Source organism: Homo sapiens, chromosome 16, assembly GCF_000001405.40.
Source record: "Homo sapiens chromosome 16, GRCh38.p14 Primary Assembly".
Lineage (NCBI taxonomy): Eukaryota > Metazoa > Chordata > Mammalia > Primates > Hominidae > Homo > Homo sapiens.
Genome location: NC_000016.10, coordinates 81496889 through 81520191, shown reverse-complemented (window position 1 = coordinate 81520191; position 23303 = coordinate 81496889). Strand labels below are relative to the sequence as shown.

Genomic DNA, 23303 nt, shown 5'->3' with positions numbered 1-23303 from the left:
CCAGAGAATGGGCTCACAGCCGCTTTGCTATACCGCTTCTTGACTACCTGGGCAGCTGAAATGCAAATCTTAGGCCCCACCTGCTAAGCACACTCTCCAAGGCCTTGAAACTGAAATGACCCCACCAGGCCACTCAAGAGCAGCCGCATCACCACCCACTGCTGCTGCACCCCTGCCGCAAAGCCAGCGTAATGACAGCTTTAGGGAACAGCCCCGAGAAGACAGATGAGACCTTCCCAGAGAGCCACAACTACAATGCCAGCTTTTGTCCCCAAATGGTGGTTTCAGTTTCAGAGCTCACTTCCCATTCGTCGCCATTCAGGATGACAAAGCCTTCAACACTGAGGGCTGGAGGAGAGGAAGGGAACATTACTGAGTCTACCATGTCCCAGCACCTCACTGAGGCATCTCCATGATGGACATACTTGAGTGAGCCATGTCAAACTGCCGTTCTGTAGGTTAAAAGTGGTAAAATGCTGGCTGTTTCATGTGTTTTATCCTGTCTTATCGTCATAACAACCCCACTTTACAGATGAGGAAACTGAGGCTCAATTTCCTCAAGTGAGGTTAAATGGTTGGCCAAGGTCACAGAGACAGGAAGTAGGAGACCCAAGATTCCAACCCTGTCTGGTCTCAGTCAAGGTCCTTCCCCTCCACCATGCACACACTATTTCCTGGACTGCCCTGGGGCATGGGAGGCCCAGCAAGGGTGTGCCTGAGTAGAGAACAGCCCAGAGAACCCAATTCCTCTGCTGACGGAGTTCTGAGTTAAGGGGTCAGGACTTTCTTTGGGCAGCCCAGGCTCTGCTCTCAAATTGAAGCAGCTACAGCTTAGCAAGTACTAGCAAAAATATAATCACAGGGATTTTACTTTTTGTGTGTGTGTTTGCTTTGAGACAGGGTCTCACTCTGTCATCCAGGCTGGAGTGCAGTAGCGCGATCACAGCTCACTGTAGCCTCAACCTCCCAGTCTCAAGTGATCCTCCCACCTCAGCCTCCTGAGTAGCTGCAACTACAGGCATCACCACACCCTGCTACTTCTGTTAAAAAATATTTTGAGGCCGGGTACAGTGGCTCATGCCTGGAATCCCAGCAATTTGGGAGGCCAAGGCAGGTGGATCACAAGGTCAGGAGTACAAGACCAGCCTGGCCAACACGGTGAAACCCCGTCTCTAATAAAAATACAAAAATTAGCCAGGCGTGGCGCGGGCGCCTGTAATCCCAGCTACTCAGGAGGCTGAGGCAGATAATTGCTTGAACCTGGGAGGCGGAGGTTGCAGTCAGTTGAGATCGCACCACTGCACTCCAGCCTGGGCAACAGAGTGAGACTCTGTCTCAAAAAAAAAAAAAAAAAAATAGAGATGCAGGTCTCGCTATGTTGCCCCAGGCTGGTCTTGAACTCCTGGGCTCAAGTGATCTTCCTGCCTCGGCCACCCAAAGTGCTGGGATTACAGGCATGAACCTGGCCTTTTATATTTTTTAATCAACACCAACAGACACAGAACACAGGAAGCAGGTAGACAGTTACTTAATCGGTTTGAGTCCCAGCTGGCTAGTGGGAACGGTAGGATGCTAATGCCAACTGCATAGGGCTGCTCAGAAATAAACACAGCCTGTAAGCCAAAGGCCCTGACCCGTGCTGGGCGCCCGGACGGTTCTCAGCGTACATCACTTCCCTTGCTGGTCCTTGGCTCTCTCGCCAAGCTGGAGGGGTATAGTCCAGCCTGGACCCCTGCAGGGACTTCAGTAGACAGCCTCTCCCAGGCCTAGCCTATGTTCTTCCCCAGACAGGTGAAGGTGTTGTCTGGATGCCATTCACCATGAAGTGGTGGCCACTGTTAATTCACGGTCCCGACATCCCTCTCTCTGCTACCCAACTCCAGGTGTCAACAAGCCCGGTGGGCCAGGAAGAATGACCCTTAGAGGATGACAGGTCCTACTTTCACAATTATGACAGATTTTCTGCGCTCCGCTGTCTTTCGACCAAAGTGAGAGCCAAATAGGAAATGCAGGGGTGAGATGATCCACAGGCTTTAGCCATGGGCGTTTCAACTGACTCGGGGAAACAGCACCCCATTGACCCCAGCCTTCCGAAGAAGGGTGAGTCCTCAAACAGCTGCACCACCCACCGCCCTCCTCCACTTCCAGCACACACACACAATTAACCATGGGGGCATGAGAAGTGCAAAGGGACCCCCGTCACTTACTTTGTGAAAAAATTCCACACATCCACTGGCGTTCATTTTCCTAGAAAATCCTTGAATCTCGTGGCTGTGGCAGGAGGTCCACATTGAAAAGAGATGTCTGCAGCCACTGCCAACTCTGCGCCCTGGCTGCATCTCCCAAGCCTCCAGAGAACGTCGAACTCCAAAAACGGCATTCCCGAAGGATGGGATCATTTCCTAAACACACCCAGAGAATCGCCTCTGCTCCACATTTCTTCAGGAAAAAATGTTTCCCACTTCCCTGGCATTGTCGGGGGAGACTCCAAGGACACACTGGCTAAAATGTGGGGCTTTTTCTTTCTCATAATGGCCTATTACATACTTTGCAATTTCACAGCTAATATGTGAATACAGGGCTGTCATTACAATTTGAATAATATAGAAATGAGAAGTGTGAAAAGCAACAAAATCCCCTTTACCTGAATTCAAGCCCACTCTCTTGCCAGAGGAGGGTGTTTCCTTGGTCTCATTTTTCTATGCAATCATATACATATTAAAAAATACCTTTGTGTTATGCATTTGTGTGATGAGTCTTAGACAATAACATGTCTTGGATATCTTTCCACAGTCATGCATTTTAGATTCACTTCATTCTTTTTCATTGCTGCATCATATTCCACAGAATCAATGTACTAAGACATACTGACCTATTCTTTCACTGATGACCTTGGAAGCTGTCTGATTTTTCACTGATGACCTTGGAGGCCGTCTGGTTTTTCACTGACGACCTTGGAGGCTGTCTGGCTTTTCACTGATGACCTTGAAAGCTGTCTGATTTTTCACTGATGACCTTGGAGGCCGTCTGGGTTTCACCGATGACCTTGGAGGCCGTCTGGTTTTTCGCTGAAGACCTTGGAGGCCGTCTGGTTTTCCACTGATGACCTTGAAGGCTGTCTGGCTTTTCAGTGATGACCTTGAAACCTGCCTGATTTTTCACTGATGACCTTGGAGGCCGTCTGGGTTTCACTGATGACCTTGGAGGCCTTCTGGTTTTTCACTGAAGACCTTGGAGGCCATCTGGTTTTTCACTGATGACCTTGGAGGCCGTCTGGTTTTTCACCGATGACCTTGAAGGCCGTGTGGTTTTTCACTGAAGACCTTGGAGGCCATCTGGTTTTTCACTATGCTACCTGACACATACTTGGGTATGTGTCTATGCAAACATGAGAGAATTTCCTGAGGACAGATGCCTAGATGCTTCGATATCTATTGCCAGGCATCCCAGACACAGTGGTACACTAGCCAGCCCTGGTCCCAGCCCCCAGGGAGCCCACAGTTTGGCTGCAGACAACTAAAGCTATCAGCCCAGAGCAAGCCAATCCCCAGCAGTGACGCACAAGTGCCCGCGCACTGACGAGATGCATCCAGGCTGGGAGGGCAGGGAAGGCTTCCTCTGACGGCGATGAGCTGAGTCCTGAAGGCAGAGCTGGCTGGCCAAGAGCAAGAGCATGAGAGTGTCCAGGGAGAGTGTCCAGGGAAGGGAGTGGGGAGGGCTTCCAAGCCTGGAACACGGCACGTATCTGCAGAAACCAAGGGCTGAACCGAAGTAGAGCTCCTTTAGGAAAAGAAAGCAGCTCAATATGATTGCAGTCCTACTCGGGTGGACGAGGGGACCCGGGGGAGCTAGAAGAACGTTTAAAACGGGAGAGAAGCGCGATTCCATGTGTATTTTAGAAAATCCCCGGAGGAATCAAGAGTGAGAAAATGGGCTGCTGAAGTCAAGTGACTGGACTAGAAACCACCCCAAAGCTGGGGCCATGTCACCTTCATTGCTAGATCAGTCAGAGTCCAACCAGGAGATGGAAGCCACTTGGGCACTGGAACTGAGAGACTCCAACGCAGGGCACTGGGTACACAAGGAAGGAGATCCCAGAACCCAAACGGGGGCAATGGAGCAACCCAGAGATTAGCAACAGCAGGAAGCTGCCCCCACCCGCAGGCCAGAGAGACACAGGGGAGGTGGCAGGACTGAGGCCCAGGGGCTGGAAGCGCCGACAGAGGACAGGCCATAGGGTCCGTCCAGTGGGAGCTGGAGCCACGGAGGAGTTGCAGGTGCCATCAGAGTGGCCTCTGGAGACTGAGGGAGGTAGAAACACTGGCTTCTCCATTCCTCTTGCCTTCCAACCTCCTAGCAGCTCCTCCCACGGGTTGAATCCAGTGACACGGGAGCCTGGGACACAAGAACCTACAGAGATTGGCTCCCGACCACACCCAGCAGATCAGAGCAAGGACAAGGAACGGACCCCAAGGGCAAACAGGCCCAGACTGGCACAGCTACCAACCTCCGGTCCTTAGAATAGCGCCTGGTGCAGGATACACATTTGCTAAAAGAATAAAGCCGGTGATGCTTCATTTGAGAGCCCCTCCAGCCCTGTGATTTCCTGATGGCCACTTAACGATGCTCTTGGGCTGACGAAACACGCCTCCCATTATCCCCAGCCCTGGCCCTGTGCTCCCAAAGCACTCAATAGTAAATCAATAGTGCGTTCTCTGAAACAGAAGCCCAGTGGTGCCCGCCCACCCAGCCTTCAAAGCCAAGATCAGCTGTGCCTCTCCTTACATCGCCACACACGTCAGTGCCCTCCAACACAGACCTTGTGTTTTTCCATCTAGAAGCGTGAGGGACCACAACGCTTCAAGGATGAGAATCAGAAGGCCAAGGTGTTCCTTTCAGCTGTGAGTCATTTTGAGGCCTCGCTGACAGGTGAGAGGGTTCAGCCTCACCTGCCCGGTCAATCCTTCAGCCCTAGAGCCCAGAATAAAGCACAGCCCCCAGTAGGTTTCTCTCTGCTGGAGTCATGCTTCTAGTTTAACTGGGAGAAGACGGTCTGGCACAGGGAAAAGGCTGAGAGCTTTGGGACAGGGCACTCCTGCCAGGACAGGCCACGTGGCCATGGGTCACCTCCTGGCCTCAGTCTCCAGCTCTGGAAAATGGGAAGGATATGACCTTCCTCCAGGGCTGTTGGGCCTGGCACACAGCAGGCCCTCGAACAACGATGCTCAGGGGAGTGTTCATCGCATTTTCTGTTACTGGACCCCAGCGCCCCACTTGGTCTGTGGTAGCTCCTCTGAAAGATGTTAGTATGAGCAACAGCTAGAGCCACCATGGCGCACACTGGCACGGCACACACACAGGCCAGGCAGCAGCCTAAGGATTGTGTATTAAGTCACTTAATCTTCACAACCACCCTGGGAAGCAGGAAATACTGTTTCCTCCACTTTACAGATAAGGAGACTGAGGCACAGAGAAGTCTGGAAACAAACCCACGGGGACCCAGGTTATAAGGGGTGAAGCCATGACCTTCTCCTGGGCTCTCAGGCTCCAGAGCCACCGCGATTGACCGCAACACTAGATCTACCAGGGGTGCCCATGCGGTGCTGAGAGCCACGCTAAAGTCTTAATTAATAGGCTGTCCCATCTAATTCTCACAGTACACCCATTTTGCAGATGAAGAATGGAGGCTCAGTGAGCGCAAACCACTTGTCTAAGGTCATGGACTAATGAGTAGCCAGCTGGGTTGGAACCTGGATGGTCTCGTCACACTCCTGACCACTGCACCCCAAGTTAGCCTCGTTCCTAAGGTCAAACTGGGCTGCCTCTTCCTCCCTCCTCATGCCACTTCTGGAAGCTTCCCTCACCCTGATCCTCTGGAGGTGGCCACACGCCCCCACAAAGGGGAAGCTTTCTCAGCCACCCTCCTCCTCCCTGCCTGCCCCACCCCTCCAACTGCATGGGCTGGGACACCTACCCTCTTCACCACAAAACCAGATGCAAATCCATTCCTCAAATAGACTGGAAGTGTCACCGGATTCTAGTCTCTTCTATAGTAAATACATGAAGTCAGTCTCCATAAACAAATGCATTATTTTAGGGATGAAGATTCACTGGACATCAACAAAGCTGGCGGCGTTTTTGTTTTGTTTTGTTTTTGTTGTTTTTCTTTTAAACTAGCAGCAGCAACCACAACGGAAACCCCATGGTCTGTTTTGGGGTCAAAACACAAAGCCTTCCTCTAGCCCCAGGATTGCACTGGGCAGTGGGGGCAAGAATGCCCCACCTAGGCTGAGGGAAGCGCAGCAAATATGGTTTGGGCAAAGACAACAGGGCAAAGGTTGCAAGTCAGTGGAATGAAAGCCAGCCCAGAGGATCCGAGAGCTGGAATCTTAAATATTCACACCAGGAAGTAATGGCACTAAGTCTGGAGCCAGCTAGGGCCATGCCTGTGTCCCTTGCAAAACGGCTTGGCCTGGAAACAGGAGGCAGCTCCACTCTGGGAATTGACCCATCTGACCCTTGCCCCATTGCCTAGACCCACGGGTCTGCACAGCAGCCAGGCCAGAACGGACCGGGGGGTTCCCAAGTCAGCACCCTCAGCACAAGCTGGAGGTACAATCCCAGCTCCACGCCGGCTCAGCCCCAGGAAGGTGTCCCCGACACGGCAGAGAAACAAAGGCCAGCTCTATTTGCAAACTGGCCTCCTGGAGAATCCCGGGGTGGAAAGGAGCCCACTCCAGCCAGGTGGTATGGCAGATCAGCTTGCAGTCCTGTCATTCACTCAACAGCCGTTTCCGGAACACCTACTATGCGTGGGGCCCAGGCCAGCCGCGCTGGCTGTCTCCTCAACTCCAGCCTCTTGCTGGGACCTTGGCAACCAGGCCCAAGAGAAAGGCGGCTCCTCTGAATAGCCTGCTGGCAGGAAGCCCCACACTCTGGGTCTGGTGAGCAGCAACGGATGCAGGCAGGCCCCGCTCTACGAAAACTCGATCTAGGGGGAGAATCTTCCAACCTACCAAGAAGAGGAAAGAACTCAGAGGTTTACCAGAGGGCAAGGGATCAAAATCAAAACTCAAAAGCTCCCACCAGCCAAAAATGGGCCAACCGGAGCATCCAAAAGAATAGTAACTGCAAGGAATTGAAATTCATCAAATAAGCCGGACATGGTGGCTCACGCCTGTAATCCCAGCACTTTGGGACGCTGAGGAGGGCGGATTGCTTGAGACCAAGAGTTTGAGACCAGCTTGGGCAACATGGAGAAACCCCATTTCTACTAAAAATGCAAAAATTAGCTGGGTGTGGTGGTGCGTGCCTGTAATCCCAGCTACTTGGGAGGCTGAGGCAGGAGAATTGCTTGAACCCAGGAAGCAGAGGTTGCAGTGAGCTGAGATCATGCCACTGCACTCCAGCCTGGGTGACAGAGTAAGACTCTGTCTCAAAAAAAATTATTATTTTAATTATAATTATTTTGTGGCCAATTAATTTTATTAATAAAAAAGAAATTCATCAAATATAAATTTAAATCCATGAATTCATGTTGATATTTAAAAAAAAACCTTTGGAAGATGCTACAAAATCAGTTTATTACTCTAAACTTGATACAAAGGGGAAGAGTGAAGCATTTCTGCTGCCTTTCCTGTACACACTAAACATTGCAACAACCATGTAGCTGATGAAGTGAAGCCCTTCTTCGGATGATCCCATCTGACAAATGAGGAAGGAAAGGTAGAGCTAAAACACCTGCCCTTTGCAATCTCTAATGAAATAATGCACCTGAGCAGTGATTGCTGGTGCCCACTGGAACATGAGCAGGAAAGGTGATGGGGGTGGTGATGGATAGATCAGGCAGCCAGCACCAGAACCTGCCCATCAACCACAGCAAGAAAGACCCCCACCAAGGCATGAGGGACCCTGGAGTGAGGCAACTGGAAGTGCACAGAAACACCTACCTAGAGAGGAATCATGCCGAAAATTTTAATCCAAATCAACCAAATCTCTAGATCAGTGCTCTCCAATAGAAATACAATGCAAGCCACATGTTTAAAACTAAATATTCTAGTAGCCACATTTTAAAAAAGTAAAACAGGTGAAATCAATGTTAATAATATATTTTAACCCAATATATCAAATATATTATCACTTCAACATATAATCAATACAAAAAATGAGTAGTGAGATACTGTATATTTTTTTTCATACTAAGTCTTCAAAATCCAGTGTGCGTTTTACACTTAGAGCACATCTCAATGAGGACCTCATTTCAAGTGCTCAGCGACCATGTGTGGCTGGTGGCCGTGGTATTGGACAGCACAGGTCTAAAACTAACTAGAGGCCAGGTGCAGTGGCTCACACGTGTAATCCTAGCACTTTGAGAGGTAGAGGTGGGCAGATCACTTGAGCCCAGGAGTTCGAGACCAGCCTGGGCAACATGGTGAAACGCCATCTCTACAAAACATACAAAAAATTAGGCAGGCGTGGTGGTGCACACCTGTAGTCCCAGCTACCAGGAAGGCTGAGGTGGGAGGATCATCTGAGCCTGGGAAGTTGAAGCTGCAGTGAGCCACGATCATGCAACTGTACTCCAGCCTGAGCAACAGAGTGAGACCTTGTGTAAAAACAAACTAGGAATTCACAAGGTATGCAGGAAATCTACAGGAAATACAGGGAACAGAGGAATGTGTTAAATGACACCATGAGGAAGCAATCAGCAAAACTCAGAATATGGAAAATTCTACAGGGCAGATGACTAACTTAAAGAGATTGTAAAACCTTCAGTAAGCAAATACAGGGTGTAGACCACGTCCGGAATCTTAAATGAGCAAACCAATAGTAAAAATCATGAATGAAATAACTAGGGAAATGTGAACATTGGACATTTGATATCAAGGAATTATTGTTAGTTTCTTAGGCATGAGGATGGTATTACATTTATATCTATTTGTTAAAAGATACTTTATTTTTTAGAGATTCCTATTTAAGTCATTTCTGATGAACTAACAGCATGTCAGGGATTTGCATCTAAACAGTGGCTGGGAGAGAGGGAAGCATACAGAGGCAGCTACACCCCAAGACTCATCATAAGCTGGGAACTGTTGAAGCAGATGATGAGTACATGGGGGTTCATTTTACTCCCCCATGCTCTCAGTATATGTTTTAAAATTTCCCAAAGTTAGGCTGGCAGCTGTGGCCCAAGCCTGTAATCCCAGCACTATGGGAGGCCGAATCAGGTGGATCACCTGAGGTCAGGAGTTCAAGACCAGACTGACCAATATGGTGAAACCCCATCTCTACTAAAAATATAAAAGTTAGGTGGGCAAGGTGGCATGCACCTGTAGTCCCAGCTACTCAGGAGGCTAAGGCAGGAGAATTGCTTGAACCTGGGAGGTGGAGGTTGCAGTGAGCTGAGATCTCACCACTGCACTCCAGCCTGGGCGACAGAACAAGACTCTATCTCACCAAAAAAACAAAACAAAACAAAATAAAGGTTTGTGATTTGTGATTTTTTTTGTTTTAATGAAGGAAAAAAAAACATTGGTCTTGGACTGGTCCATCACAGTATCTGAGAAAGGTGGTAGTGAAGTGTAATTTTGAAAAGACCTGGAATCGCACCTCCAGGACTTAAATCCTGGCTTTGTGCCTGGCTGGTTGTGTGACTTTGTGCATGTCCCTTTGCTTGCTAAACCTCAGTTTACTCACCTCCTAAACAGGGCTACTAACAATAGTGTTTCCTCAGAAGACTGTCAAAGGATTAAACTAATCCAAACCAAGTGCTTAGCTGAGAGCACATAATAATGTTAGGTGGTAATAACACTACCATTATTGACATTGTCATCATTATTATTAGCAAAAACATCAGTGATGAAGTGATGAGGGCGGCCATCATGGTCCCACTTGGGCGACTCACACCCAGGGAAACAAGGGCCCTGACACCTGCTCCGTGGAGCTCCTGGGCAGCTGTGAGGAGCGAGCACCCCCTCGTCCCCGATCAGACCTTGAGAACTATAACACAAAGAGGGTGGCAGCCCCGCAGCAGGATGCTGACGTCACTGTCGTCAATACCTTGATAGAGGCCCAAGAGACAAAGTCACAGCCAAAGTGAGCAGAGCTTTTGCCAAACGCCCCATTAAAGATACAGGAAAAGCATCCTCATCTAAAATCCTGATGGAAATTGATCAGAAAATGAGGTTCAATTTGCCAGCCAGGTCTGATTCAGGCATACTTCCTTTGGGGCAGGACTTCTCCGTGAGGGCAGGATGTCCGGAGCTCCTGACAAAGGGGCCCCCAGCCAATCACTGCATCAGATCCATCACACTTCCATGCTCCTGCCCACCAGGAAACTCACCTGTTCTCTCCTCCCTGGTTAAGGGAGACAGGAAGACAGCAAGCTGAGGGGTCTGGGTCCCAGTTAAGACCCAGCCCCAAGGATGTGCAGCTGGGGCAGGTAGGCCTCAAGAGACATCTGTTCAGACCATGCCCTTGGGTTATCCAGGCAGCATTCCTGAAACCAGGGTTGGAGCCCTGACCCCAACCCTAGGGTAGGGCTCTGCTTAGGGCCGCCCTGGCTCGACCTGCTCAGGATGACCAGAGGGAGGCGGACAGAGTGGGCGGAAGGGAAAGACAGCCAGACTATGACCCCCGAGTACCTGCACATCAGGCACCAACATGAAAGTCATTCCCATTTTTAGAGCTAAAAAACCAGAAGCTCAGAGAGGTGCCAGAGGCAGTGCACGCAGGAAGGAGGCAGCCCCAATGTCAAACCCAAGTGCCTATCTCCAAAGCCAAACTCCCACCAATGTGTTATGCCGAGCTAGGTGACAGGAAGCAAGCCCCCAGACACACACACAGGCAGGGAACTGTGCAGGCTGAGGGCACATCAGCATCATTCCGGTGGGCTCTCCAGCTGGGTGGTCCTGCCCATGCCACATCTCTCTGCACCTGCTTGCGCATCTATAGGATGGAGCTAAAGAGAGCCCTGTGGGGCAATGACAGCTGAGGACACAGGAGGTCTGCCACACGGGGAGCACACGGTGTTGGTGACACCTGCAGACACCTGAATGAATCTGTTCTTCATGAGGACCTGCTGGCACTTTTTCTCTCTGAAGAGTAGATCTTTATTTGAAAAAAATAAAATGAATGATTCCCTTCCCATCATAAAAGCTGCTGCTCTTAAGGCTAAGGGAAAGGGAACCTGAATTGTATTCAAGAGTTCATTCCTGGAGTAGGGGAGACTCCACGCTGAGCAAAGGAATGGCAGGCAAGGCCAAGGGAGAACCACTCCAGACATGACACTTGCTCTCCTAAGTACTTCCCAACCCCAGTGCACAGTTGACAAAAGCATACATCAGAAGGGGCCCTGAGACACCATGAGGATCCCCATCCTGGGGCCTACGTGGGTCCCTCAGGCATGATCAGATCATTCTGCACACCATCCCAGGCCTGCAGGAGCTGTCCTGAGATCTGTCTCACGGAGCACCCTCTCAGACTGATGGAGAGTGCTGAAACTCCCAATGCAGTCTGTAAATACCTATCAATATTCCAGAGGTGCATAACCTTTGACTCAGACATTTCATTTCTAGGAATTTTTCCCAGAGACATTTTTGCATTTGTCTCAAAGATATATATACATGGATAATCACATGGCATTGCTTGAAAGAGTAAAAGGCTGCAAAAACAGCCATCAGTAAGAAAATGACCAAATAGAGCTATGGAGTAGAATGCTCTGTAACCACAAAAAGAGAACAGGGAAGCTGTCCTGATATGCAACCATTCCTCACTATTGTTTAGTGAGAAAATATTACAGGAAAATGTGCACAGGATTCTATCATTCGTTTAAACAAACCAAATTTGTACGTATTTGCGTCTATGTACCTAATTATGTCCACAAAGGAGATGATCAGAAACCAGGGATGCTGTGGCCTCTGGGGAGGAGATAAGCCAGCCGGGCCACAGGGCAAGAGGGACTTTTCACCACATTTCCTTATAGATTTCCTGAGCTGTGCATCATATGAAAGTCCTATCTATTCAAAAATAAATGCACACATTTAATATTTCAAAATAATATAAAGTAGAGGATGTAGCACTCACTTTGTCTCTAGAACAAGGTTGGGGGAGGAATGCTCCTGCTTTGTTCCTCTCTGTTCAATCATCTCTGATTCCTCCGTTAAGCATGGGTGGATAGGTTGGCATTGCCCAAGTGGGCTCTACTAAAAGCCTGGGAAAACCAAATGGGAAATAAACCAAGAAAGGCAAAAATCACCGGATCAGTCCAGCTCCAGCAGGCTGGGCCAGTGTCCCAGGCAGCAATGGGACTCACACCCCAGTACTACTGAGTGCTACCCTCACAGCCCTTCCCCAGAACCCAGTCCTCTTGTTCCCCCAAGAACCCCAAATATAAAGCAGGGCAAACGCAAAGTGATCTGCGGCCACCCCAACCAGGAGATTCCACTCAGGTCTCCTGGTTAATCTTAATGAGCCTTGTGAATTTGCATTCCACTCCACATCTGTGCACACTTTAACAGCAAAATAATATCTCCAATGACTCCTGAATTAAATGGTTTCACCTTTTCTCCCTTCACCAAATTGTCTAAAGTGGATGTTCCCACAAAGGGGAGCCATGTTTTACATTACGCACCAATTAAACGACTTAACCTTTCCACCCCTCAAGGAAAATGCTCATTCCAAGAAGATGAGCCATGTTCTAAATTATATATTAGTTAAATTACTTAATCTTTTCCCTCTGAATCCACAAGTCAAGTGGACACACATAGAGGACACACCCAATTTAGCCTATGGTTTCTCAAACTCCTGACACCCTCACAGGCTGCACATATCCCAGTTTGAGAAACGTAGTTTTAGGCTTATCTTTAGCAGCTGCAGAGGGAGGGTACCCAAGACCCCCAGAAAGCCAAGGCTGGGCAGATGATCTTCCTTTCTTTTTTAAGACAGAGTCTAGCTCTGTCACCCAGGCTGGAGTGCAGTGGCACAATCGGCTCACTGCAAGCTCCGCCTCCTGGGTTCACGCCATTCTCCTGCCTCAGCCTCCTGAGTAGCTGGGACTACAGGCGCCCGCCACCACGCCCAGCTAATTTTTTTGTATTTTTTTTAGTACAGATGAGGTTTCACCATGTTAGCCAGGATGGTCTCGATCTCCTGACCTCGTGATCCACCTACCTCGGCCTCCCAAAGTGTTAGGATTACAGGCGTGAGCCACTGTGCCCGGCCGATGATCTTTCTTTAGAGGACATTCAGGAACAAGGCTTTGAGCCATTTCTTTTTTTTTTTTTTTTTGAGACGGAGTCTCGCTCTGTCATCCAGGCTGGAGTGGAGTGGCGTGATCTCAGCTCACTGCCACCTCCGCCTCCTGGGTTCAAGTGATTCTCCTGCCTCAGCCTCCCAAATAGCTGGGGCTATAGGCGCACACCACCACACACAGCTAATTTTTAGTAGAGACGGGGTTTCACTAGTGTGGCCAGGCTGGTCTCGAACTCCTGACCTCGTGATCCGCCCGCCTTGGCCTCCCAGAGTGCTGGGATTACAGGCATGAGTGAGCCATTTCAAACTCAAAGTTCCACTTTATTTTCTTCCCACTTGATCATCTTTCTATTCGGAAGACTTTTCCCCAATCAAGCTTCTGTTCTTAAGCCATTACTGATTGTTATTTCCATTACCCATTTTAATCTCCATTTTCCAATGTTATTTCCACAATACAAGGCCAGTTTCTTTAAAAAACAATAAATTGCAATGTAAGGAAGAATGAGGTCTTCCTGTGTAATGAAATGGCTGAGCATAACTGAGGCAAGATCCACCTCTTAAGAACAGAGGTCAAGATCTCAGCAGGGCTTTGTGAAGGTCAGAAAACTTCTCTGGGGGCCCTTGCTCATTACTGTCTTCTCAGACCCCAAATCAGTAAGTACTGGTCAGGATCAGAACGGTCCTGAGTGTAGGCTCAGGATCACACAGGCCTAGATCCAATCAGCTTCGCCAGTTTCTAACTACGTGAGCTGCAGGAAGTTCCTTAACCTCTCCGAGCCTTGGTTTCCTCATCAATAAAATGAGGCTAAGAGGGGTCCCACCTGTTAGGGTTGCAGGAGGATGAATAGAGACAACGTGTGTAAACTGCTCAGCAATGTGACAGCATGTAATAAGCACTCAATGAACGGCAGTTCTTACTGTTCCTGATTTATTTTATTTTATTTTGAGATGGAGTTTTGCTCTTGTCGCCCAGGCTGGAGTGCAATGGCACAATCTAGGCTCACCGCAACCTCCACCTCCCGGGTTCAAGTGATTCTCCTGCCTCAGCCTCCCGAATAGCTGGGATTACAGGCATGTGCCACCACGCCCGGCTGATTTTTTGTTTTGTATTTAGTAGAGACAGGGTTTTGCCATGTTGGTCAGGCTGGTCTCAAACTCCTGACCTCAGGTGATCCACCTGCCTTGGCCTCCCAAAGTGCTGGGATTACAGGCATGAGCCACCGTGCCCAGCCTGTTCCTGATTTAAACCAGCCACTCTTTCACTGAGGAGAGACTCAAAGAGAGACCCAGCTTACAAGAGGGAAATGATCTTGGCCAAAGTTTCTGTGCAGAGCTCCCTGACACTACTCATAACTTTCTTCACAGTCTGGGGAAACAGACAAGGCTTTCAGTTCCCAAACTAAGAAAGCACTAAAGCTCCAAGAGGGACCAGAAACTCGGCCCAGCAGGTCCCAGCTGAGGCTCTGGGGCTCACAGACCCCGCTGCCTTTGAAAACCAGGGTGCAAATGGACAAAACGCACAAGATCAGCAGCTCTCCAGGCGTGGGGTCTGGAGGACCAGGCCCACATGGAAGCAAGAACAGGCAGAAGCGAAACAACAACATGGCCTCCACACAGGCCCAGTTCTCTCCTTTTTCAGAACACATGAGGGATTCCACTTCCCTTCCCTCTTCACCCACCCCTATAAATTATAGGTGTGGCTACGTGACTTGTGCTGGCCAATGAACCATGAGCAGTGATGTGTGTCCTGTACAAGTGGCCACACCCCCGTCCTGCCTCCAGGACAGCAGAAGCACATGTTGAGACGGGCCCTCCATCGGCTGGGTCACTGCACGATCAGATGAGCAAGGCTCCCGACTGATGTGCCCTGGACATTTAGCATGAAGGAGAAATAAACCTCAGGTGTGTTGAGCAGCTGCGCTGCCCGTTACCGTTGCACAGCCCAGCCTCACTGGCTGATTCAAGGGGTCAAAAGAGCAGGGTCTAAAGCAGCACTTTCCAAACTGTCTGTGGGAAAAGACCCATTTTTATTTTCTTTCCAATCCACTGTAAACCAATATTTTTGAAAACTATAATGAAAATTTCATTGGAATGTCAAAATGCTAAAAGGGTTCCACACCCTCACTCTTGCTCTCCTCATTTCTCTCCCTAGAGGCTGGTAACAAGCTCTGCAGATAGGCACAGACTGGGACCACTCGTGGAATGGCACAGACCGTGGAGCACACACAGCACAGGTGGGCTGCAGGCCCACCGGCCATTTTTTCTTTTCTTTTCTTTTTTTTTTTTTTTTTTTTTTTTTGAGACGAGTCTCACTCTGTCGCCGAGGCTGGAGTGCGATGGCACAATCCTGGCTCACTGCAACCTCCATCTCCTGGGTTCAAGCGATTCTCCTGCCTCAGCCTCCCGAGTAGCTGGGATTACTGGCACCCACTACTACACCCGGCTAATTTTTGTATTTTTAGTAGAGACAGAGTTTCACCATGTTGGCCAGGGTAGTCTCAAACTTTTGACCTCAAGTGATCCACCTGCCTTGGCCTCCCAAAGTGCTAAGATTACAGGCATGAGCCATGGTGCCCAGCCCCGCTGGCCATTTTCTATTTTCTTTTTTCCTTTTTTTGAGACAGTCTCACTCTATCACCAAGGCTGAAGTGCAGTGGCATGATCTCAGCCCACTGCAACCTCTGCCTCCCGGGTTCAAGCGATTCTCCTGCCTCAGCCTCCCAAGTACTTGGGATTACTGGCGCCCACGACCACGCCAGGCTAATTTTTGTATTTTTAGTAGAGAGGGGGTTTCACCATGTGGGCCAGGCTGGTCTCAAACTTCTGACCCCAAGTGATCTGCCTCCCTCGGCCTTCCCAAGTGCTGGAATTACAGGTGTAAGCCACGGCGCCCAACCCCACTGACCTTTTTCTAACACTGGTGAAATAACTGAACCTTCCCAAGCCTCACCTCTCCATTTATAAAATGACAGTTGGCATGTGAGGATTTAAATATAAAGTCCATGGAGCACAGGGCCAGGTGTGAACACGCCCTCATTACATGTCAGCTACTCAGCCACATCCTGCCCTGTTCCCAGGTGATGACGTCTGTCACTGACAGGCCTGGTGATCCGCTCAGGGATCTGGAGGGGTGCCATGGGGTTCAGGCAACCTCAGAACAAGGCAGTGGGTTGAGATTCAGAATTCACTTCTAGACATCCACAGTGAGATAAGGTGACCAGACTGGCACCTCAATGGGGCAGAAGGCCAGGCGCGGTGGCTCAGGCCTATAATCCCAGCACCTTGGGAGGCCAGGGCAGGAGGATCGCTTGAGCTCAAGAGTTCAAGAACAACCTCAGCAACACAGAGAGACCTGTCTGTACAAAAAAATTTAAAAATTAGCCAGGTGCAGTGGCATGTATCTATGGTCCCACCTACTCGGGAGGCTGAGGTGGGAGGATGGCTTGAGCCTGGGGGGTCAAGGCTGCAGTAAGCCATAATTGTTGCCACTGCACTCCAGCCTGGGTGCACAGAGACCCTGCCTCAAAAAATAAAAATTAAAATAAAGGGATCAGAGGTATCTGGGACTAGGCAGGCGACCCAGTGATCCACTGAGACCAGGGATAACACTGACTGCTCATACCAGGGGGAAACTCTTCACCATCAAGCACCCGGCTGTCACACAGCAGAGCCACAGATGATGACCCAGGGCTGTGTTCACTCCAGAGCAGGGTAACCATGTATCCCGGTTTCCCTGGGACTGAGGGATCTCCTGGAATTCAAGACTTTCAGTATAATTGGGACAGTATTGGGCAAATCAGAACAAACTGGTCACCGTACTCCGGGGCCTGTGTTCTTTAGCTGTAATATTTAGGTTGTGCTGAACTAGGGCAGCTCTTTAATGAAACATCAACGAGGAGGCCAGAGTAGATCTCTGGCTGCTTAACAGACTGCCTGGGAAAGCCACATCCCACGACATCACGCAAACATATCTAAGGACAGAGAGACAGGGCGTGATGGATGCAGCAGCAAAGACAAAGTGATTACCCGGCATTGCAGGGACAGCAGTGGCTCCGCACAGCCTGGGGACTGGCTCTGCCCTGAGGCCTGTTCAGGAATGGAAATTTCTAAATACTGGTCACATAGCCAGAAGGCTTTTTCTTGCTTCTTTTTTTGTTTTGTTTTTTGCATTCAAACAATAGGTAATCAGAATCTGCTTAGTTAACAGCCATATTGTCATAATTTGCCAAACAAAGCAATGGGAATATGATGATAACGGTAACACTTGACATTTCTCACAAGGGCAGGTCTTGGATGTGACTTCATTTCCCAGAGCCTGCTGGCTGTCTTCTTTTGTCTGAGTCCTCCCCATCCTCGCCCAGCCATCAGCATGACGCCCAAATGCCTGGCGCACGTGACAGGCCCATGGATCGCTGAGCGAATGAGTTAATGAACGAGGACATCTCCGTTCTGCGGGTAACCCAGGCACCCCCAGGCGAGCCAGGCTGGGTGCTCTGTGGCCATGTCACCTCCCCCTCCATTGCTCACATGGAGGCAGTGCCACCATGTCCCCAGGATTGTCCTGAATACTCAATACATAAGTTGACCATGTAATCTATGAATGAAATGAAGCGTCACTGATCACTTTACTAGGACTACAAGTGTAAACTGGGACTGTCCAGGCAAAACAGGACAAGTGGTCACCTCACTGATGTAGCATCTCACCTAATCCTTGTTATGCTGCAACTGTCAGCCCAGGTCCCGGGTCCAGACTCCATGGTCTGAAGCCCAGCCCTGCCTCCTAGCAGCTGGGTACGTTACTTAACCTCTCTGGGCCTCAGTTTCCTCATCGGAGCTAGGCAGTAGCTGCCCCTTAGGGCTGCTCTGCAGACTACTCTATTTAATAGTTGCAACACTTAGAATAGGGCCTAGCATATAGTAGGCACCACTCATGTGTTGACTGAATAAAAAAGTCCTCCCATCATCCCCAGGATTGTTGCCATTTCATAAATCAGGCAAGGAAGGCACAAGGACTTAAGTCACTTGCCGGTTAGTAGCAGAATGGCTCACGCCTGTAACCCCAGCACTTTGGGAGGCCGAGGTGGGCGGATCACTTGAGGTCAGGAGTTCGAGACCAGCTTGGCCAACAGGGTGAAATCCCGACTCTACTAAAAATACAAAAATTAGCTGGGTATGGTGGCATGCACCTGTAATTCCAGCTACTCGGGAGGCTGAGGCAGGAGAATTGCGAGAACCTGGGAAGCAGAAGTTGCAGTGAGCTGAGATCACGACACTGCACTCCAGCCTGGGCGACAGAGCGAGACACCGTCTCAGAAAAAAAAAAAAAAAAAAAGAACCAGAGTCAAACCTAAGCATCAATGCCCATGCCACACCCATCCTGAGATCCTGCCCCCGACCCCACTCCACCCCCAGCTACCGCATTTTCTCTCCCCATTCAAGAATTTAGGGCTGTTCTGCAGATGACGCTATTTAATAGCGTAACCTTATAAGTCAAGTAAGAAGGAGTGCAAGGAGCCCGATACAATGCGTGGCACAGGGCACTGCCAGAGCTCCCCCTGGGGCCAAAGAGGGGCTTCAGGTCCCCTGAGGCTGTGTGGCACACGCAAAGCAGGAGGCACCAGTCCCAAAATAGGACGGGCATTTGCTGCCCGTGCGTCACAACCCAAAGTTGTTCTCCTTTTCTCTTCTTGCCAAATTACTCGATCTCAGAAATTCCTTAGCAAGACAAGACTGAAATGCAATCTCCAACCCCATCAGGCCCAGTGGAATTTCACCAACACAAATTACTGCGTTCTCCAGGAAAACGGAGGACGCTGGCCTGAAGTTTCAGATTCTCAGTAGGTCTTAGAAAGCTCCGGCACTTGAGCAGCTCCTGGAAGTGGCAGGAAGTGGTTTGCCTTTGCTTATTTTCCAAAGGATAACCACCAGATTTGCTCGTAAAAACTTGCTAACCAATTGGCAGAGGGCACCTGCGCAATCCAATGATTTCTCATATCCTGGGTTTTTCTTCTCTTGTTAGTTCAACTCGTGAGGACTTCAAAGACGCAGATGCACAAGGCTTGGCTTGGCACATGCAAAGAAGGAAGGAAAGAAAGAAGGAAGGGAGGGAGGAAGGGAAGGACAGAGAGGGAGGGAAAGGAAACAGTGGGCCGGGGAGGGCACAGTGGCTCATGCCTGTAATGCCAACACTTTGGGAGGCCAAGGTGGGTGGATCATTTGAGGTCAGGAGTTCAAGATCAGCCTGGCCAATATGGTGAAACCCAGTCTCTACTAAAAATACAAAAATTAGCTGGATGTGGTGGCACGCGCCTGTAGTCCCAGCTACTCAGGAGGCTGAGGCAGGAGAATCACTTCAACCCGGGAGGCAGAGGTTGCAGTGAGCGGAGATCGCACCACTGCACTCCAGCCTGGCGACAGAGTGAGACTCCATCTCAAAAAAAAAAAAGAAAGAAAGAAAGAAAAGGGGGAGGAAAGAAGGAGGGAGGGAGGGAGGAAGGGAGAGAGAGAGAGGGAGGGAGGGGAGGGAGGAGGGAGAGAAGGAGAGAGAGAAGGAGGAAGGGAGGAAAGGAGAGAGGAAGGGAGGAAAGGAGAGAGGGAGGGAGGGAGGGACAGAGGGAGGCAGGGAGGGAGGGAGGCAGGAAGGAAGGAAGGAAGGAAGGAAGGAAGGACGGAAGGAAGGAAGGACGGAAGGAAGGAAGGAAATTTTGATAAAGAATCAAAATTCACCAAAAGAATCGTTAAGCCACAGCCCATGGCGTCATGTTCACCGATGCTCAGGCAGGACTGCGCACCAGCTCTAAAAGTCGCCAGAGGCTGGGGCTGGCAGGACACAGAGTGAGGGAGGGAAAGAGGAGCAGAGACCAAGGAGTGGCTGAAGAAGGCCGATTGCCCCAGGGAGACTGGGTATGTTCTGCATCAGGAGAGAGAAGGAAGAAAGGGCTCCTCCAGAAGTCAGCAGCCCAAGCAAAGCAGAGGAGCCAGGTGAAGCCCAGAGTGCGTGGGGCGCCCCGGAAGGCAAGGGCAGAGGAGTTTGGATGCCTCCCATAGGGCCAAAATAGGAGAGTCTCGCCCGGGCTGACAAGCCCAGACTTGAATCTGAATGCCACAGGCAACAACTGCGAGTTGCTGGGCAGGACCGGAGCTGCCGCCCCCAAAACTGTTTCAGATTCAGAGGGCGCTGCTGGGTAAAGGAGGGGTAAAGGACTGGACGGGGAAGCTGAGTCTCCTCCACCACTTCTCAGGAAGCCTTTGGGGAGCCACCTCTGCTCCCCGGGCAGAGGCCACATGCCAGCCCAGTCTGCTAAGGACATTCCCAGATTCTTGGAGGCTGGGATGGGGGCACGTGTCCTGGGCCAGCCCAGAAGATGGATGACAAGGAAGCTACATGGGCGCCGGGACAGGCGGATGCTAAGGTGAGGAGACAGCTCAGCCAGGGCTGCCTCCCACTCAGAGGTCATCGCCAGGTCCAGATCTGTGCAGTCACTTCCCTCCCGAACTGGGCACTTGGGAGAAATCAGAGAATATCCTAGAAGGGACTCTGAAAGGGAGCTGGAGATTGGGGCGAGGCTTGGGGCACATGTGTACATGGGTGTGCAAGTGGTGTGTGTGTGCAGAGACAAGTATGTGTGCCGAGTGTCCTTCCATGCATAGGTGTGAGGCATGTGCATCCATGACCTTGAGATTGAGTGCTCATGGCCATATGTGTATACGGTGAGGGGGTGTGGCCATGCTGGGACACGTTCACAGTGTGAATGGTGCATGCATGCACACACATCTTCAACAGGCAAACAGCATCGTGTCAGGGCCAAGAGCCTGGACTGAAGCCTTGAGCACACGATCTAGCTTCTCTACACCGATCTAACTGCTCTACACCTCAGTTTCCTCATTTGTAAAATGGCGCTAATAACAGAAACTACCTCCTAGTGTTGATAGGGGGATTAAATACATTTGAATTTGTAAAGCACTCAGATGCTTGTACATGGGGTCCTACTAAATGGTATGCATGTGTGTGTTAAAAAATAAATGCATACGTGTGGGTGAGTGGTCGCACAGCTGGGAACCTGTATGTATGGAGAGGTGTGCACGGTGTAAACTAACTGGGACTGTGTGCACACGCAGGGGCAGGAAGATATGGGCTGGGTGTGCACGGATGTGCAAGAGGGAGGTGTGTCTGCCCGTTTGCAAACGTGTGGACTGTGTGTATACATGACGCCTGGGGGAGTGCATGCCAGGGCCCAGGACATGTGTGCTCAAGGACCATGGGGTGTATGCATGCACACACGTGTGTGCTCGTGGGGTATGCAAGTGTGTGCAGCCATGTTCTGGGGCACACATGTGTGGGCACCTGGGCAGGGGCATGGAGGGATGGGAGCCATGAGTCAGGTGGAAGGACCCTCTCAGAGTGAGGCGCGAGGAGCAGAGGCCTGATAACCCCCGTGAGAAAGCAGGACCACTGGGCAGAGGCAGAGTGGCCCCCTCAGAGCTGCCGAGCAGCCCCAGGGGGACTCGGTGCAGAGGTGAGGACCCAGACCAAAAAGGCCGGGGGACAAGGGCCGCATCTCACTCAGGCCTGTGCCCAGCCCCCGGCACTGGACCGTCCTCAGGAAGCTGGAAAGGAAGGAAGGAGAGAATGTGCCCAAGGGAGGGACACAGACCCCAACATGACAAGCACCATCCTCAGGTCACGTCCTGGGGCTCCACATCCATCATTTCATTGAACCTTCTTGACTGTCCTAGAAGGAGCCACGTTTTCAGACAAGGAAGCCGAGTTCTATGGTTAAAACATCTGCCCAGAGGCCCACTGCTAGGGAGCAGCAGGTTCCAACCCAGCTGGGTCTGACCTCTGTCCTCAGAGCCACCATGGTACTCTGAGAATGAATGAATGAACCAACACATGCATGCATGAATGAATGAACAGACCAACAAAGAACAATGAAAAGGAAACCGAAACTTAGTGCCCGGAAGAGGAATAAAATAAGGGAAGCACCGGAGAGTCGGCAGGCACTGCCTGGAGAAGCCTCTGGGGGGACCACAGCTGGAGCAGCAGCCATGGTGGCCTGCAGGGGACCCAGGAGCCCACGCTGCACGGGCAGAAGGAGCTTTCTTTGTAGCCCTTGAGGCTGCAGCAGCAGAGGAGGCGGCGGGGCACCTGTGTCGGCCAAGGCTCCCAGAGCACAAGCCCTGTGGCTTCACAGCAGGGCCAGGCCACTGAGCCTTTAGCACCAATTCAGAAAACCGGGATTCTGCACTCTATGCGAGTCCTGTGGGATTTGGGGTTAACAAGACCTCGGCTGCCCAGGCCCAGACACCCTCGGAGAGCCAGTCTGCCGAGGCCTGGGCATCACCGGCAAGATGGGTTATTAGAGTGACTTCTCCAAGCTGGCTGTGTCCTAAGGCCCCGTAGGGCTCAAACTAATGAAACAATGAGACAGTCGCCTTGCTTCCAGAGACCCTTCTGGGAGCCACCAGCTGGGTTCGGGGGTTGTTTAGAAACAGTTCCTAGAGACCCCTACTTATTATGAGCTCCAGCTCTAAGTGGCCTCTTGGAAAAGTGGCTCAACCTCACTGAGCCCCAAGTTCTTCCTACACAGTAACAATCACTCATCCATGAGGGGTTATTGGTGGAGAGGACCAATACAAGGTATGAAAAACACATCTCGGAGGACAGGTAGCAGGTCCTTCCAAGTGACAGCTGTTCTCATAAATGGGAGCCATCAGAGCCCTAGGTCTGCCTGAGCAGAGGGGAGCCCCAAGCTACTGAGTCCCCCGGGCTATGCAAGGCTGTCAGGCAGGGGTTGGAGGAGGGTGGACTGTTGCATGGGCACCACCAGCTCCAGCTGCCCCATCACTGTGCCTGGGAGGCCCAGGGTCTACACCTCCCTCTCCGCCTAGACATCCCCACAGCCCGGACACCCCTTACGAGGCCCAGCATCAGGGCATCTGTGCAATCCACTTTTATGGCCTCTTCCAACTGTTGAACCCCCCAGCCAGCCAGCAGTAAGCAAATGGCCCAGCTGCCAGGCTGTGGGTGGGTGTCCCGGGCACTGCCCGCC

At 50.8% G+C, this 23303-nt stretch overlaps 1 protein-coding gene across 5 annotated transcripts in view, besides 11 other annotated features; it reads right to left on the bottom strand.

Annotated features, from left to right (window-relative positions):
* CMIP (c-Maf inducing protein) overlaps positions 1-23303 on the bottom strand; it is a 266955-nt gene that overhangs the window by 191571 nt on the left and 52081 nt on the right. Inside the window, exon 1 of one of the 5 annotated variants that reach the window (XM_005256179.6) lies at positions 2208-2326. The exons of the other annotated variants lie outside the window; for them this stretch is intronic. Coding sequence (XP_005256236.5) covers positions 2208-2291 — 84 coding nt within the window. The 5' untranslated portion in view covers positions 2292-2326. Of the gene's footprint in view, positions 1-2207; positions 2327-23303 lie in introns of those variants that run through there. 5 annotated transcript variants of the gene reach the window in all.
* Positions 168-786: an enhancer, noted in NCBI's record as "H3K27ac-H3K4me1 hESC enhancer chr16:81553011-81553629 (GRCh37/hg19 assembly coordinates)". NCBI's record gives its function as "activates a minimal SCP1, AML or CMV promoter by ChIP-STARR-seq in primed H9 embryonic stem cells {active_cell/tissue: H9 hESC(primed)}" and the evidence as "EXISTENCE:reporter gene assay evidence [ECO:0000049][PMID:30033119]".
* Positions 1298-1995: an enhancer, noted in NCBI's record as "H3K27ac hESC enhancer chr16:81551802-81552499 (GRCh37/hg19 assembly coordinates)". NCBI's record gives its function as "activates a minimal SCP1, AML or CMV promoter by ChIP-STARR-seq in primed H9 embryonic stem cells {active_cell/tissue: H9 hESC(primed)}" and the evidence as "EXISTENCE:reporter gene assay evidence [ECO:0000049][PMID:30033119]".
* Positions 3629-4278: an enhancer, noted in NCBI's record as "H3K27ac-H3K4me1 hESC enhancer chr16:81549519-81550168 (GRCh37/hg19 assembly coordinates)". NCBI's record gives its function as "activates a minimal SCP1, AML or CMV promoter by ChIP-STARR-seq in naive H9 embryonic stem cells {active_cell/tissue: H9 hESC(naive)}" and the evidence as "EXISTENCE:reporter gene assay evidence [ECO:0000049][PMID:30033119]".
* Positions 6509-7339: an enhancer, noted in NCBI's record as "H3K27ac-H3K4me1 hESC enhancer chr16:81546458-81547288 (GRCh37/hg19 assembly coordinates)". NCBI's record gives its function as "activates a minimal SCP1, AML or CMV promoter by ChIP-STARR-seq in naive H9 embryonic stem cells {active_cell/tissue: H9 hESC(naive)}" and the evidence as "EXISTENCE:reporter gene assay evidence [ECO:0000049][PMID:30033119]".
* Positions 6672-6801: an enhancer, noted in NCBI's record as "active region_11190". NCBI's record gives its function as "activates an Ori minimal core promoter by ATAC-STARR-seq in GM12878 lymphoblastoid cells {active_cell/tissue: GM12878}" and the evidence as "EXISTENCE:reporter gene assay evidence [ECO:0000049][PMID:35858748]".
* Positions 14597-14666: an enhancer, noted in NCBI's record as "active region_11189". NCBI's record gives its function as "activates an Ori minimal core promoter by ATAC-STARR-seq in GM12878 lymphoblastoid cells {active_cell/tissue: GM12878}" and the evidence as "EXISTENCE:reporter gene assay evidence [ECO:0000049][PMID:35858748]".
* Positions 14677-14946: an enhancer, noted in NCBI's record as "active region_11188". NCBI's record gives its function as "activates an Ori minimal core promoter by ATAC-STARR-seq in GM12878 lymphoblastoid cells {active_cell/tissue: GM12878}" and the evidence as "EXISTENCE:reporter gene assay evidence [ECO:0000049][PMID:35858748]".
* Positions 22215-22274: an enhancer, noted in NCBI's record as "active region_11187". NCBI's record gives its function as "activates an Ori minimal core promoter by ATAC-STARR-seq in GM12878 lymphoblastoid cells {active_cell/tissue: GM12878}" and the evidence as "EXISTENCE:reporter gene assay evidence [ECO:0000049][PMID:35858748]".
* Positions 22335-22454: an enhancer, noted in NCBI's record as "active region_11186". NCBI's record gives its function as "activates an Ori minimal core promoter by ATAC-STARR-seq in GM12878 lymphoblastoid cells {active_cell/tissue: GM12878}" and the evidence as "EXISTENCE:reporter gene assay evidence [ECO:0000049][PMID:35858748]".
* Positions 22335-23012: a biological region, named in NCBI's record as "H3K27ac-H3K4me1 hESC enhancer GRCh37_chr16:81530785-81531426".
* Positions 22371-23012: an enhancer, noted in NCBI's record as "H3K27ac-H3K4me1 hESC enhancer chr16:81530785-81531426 (GRCh37/hg19 assembly coordinates)". NCBI's record gives its function as "activates a minimal SCP1, AML or CMV promoter by ChIP-STARR-seq in primed H9 embryonic stem cells {active_cell/tissue: H9 hESC(primed)}" and the evidence as "EXISTENCE:reporter gene assay evidence [ECO:0000049][PMID:30033119]".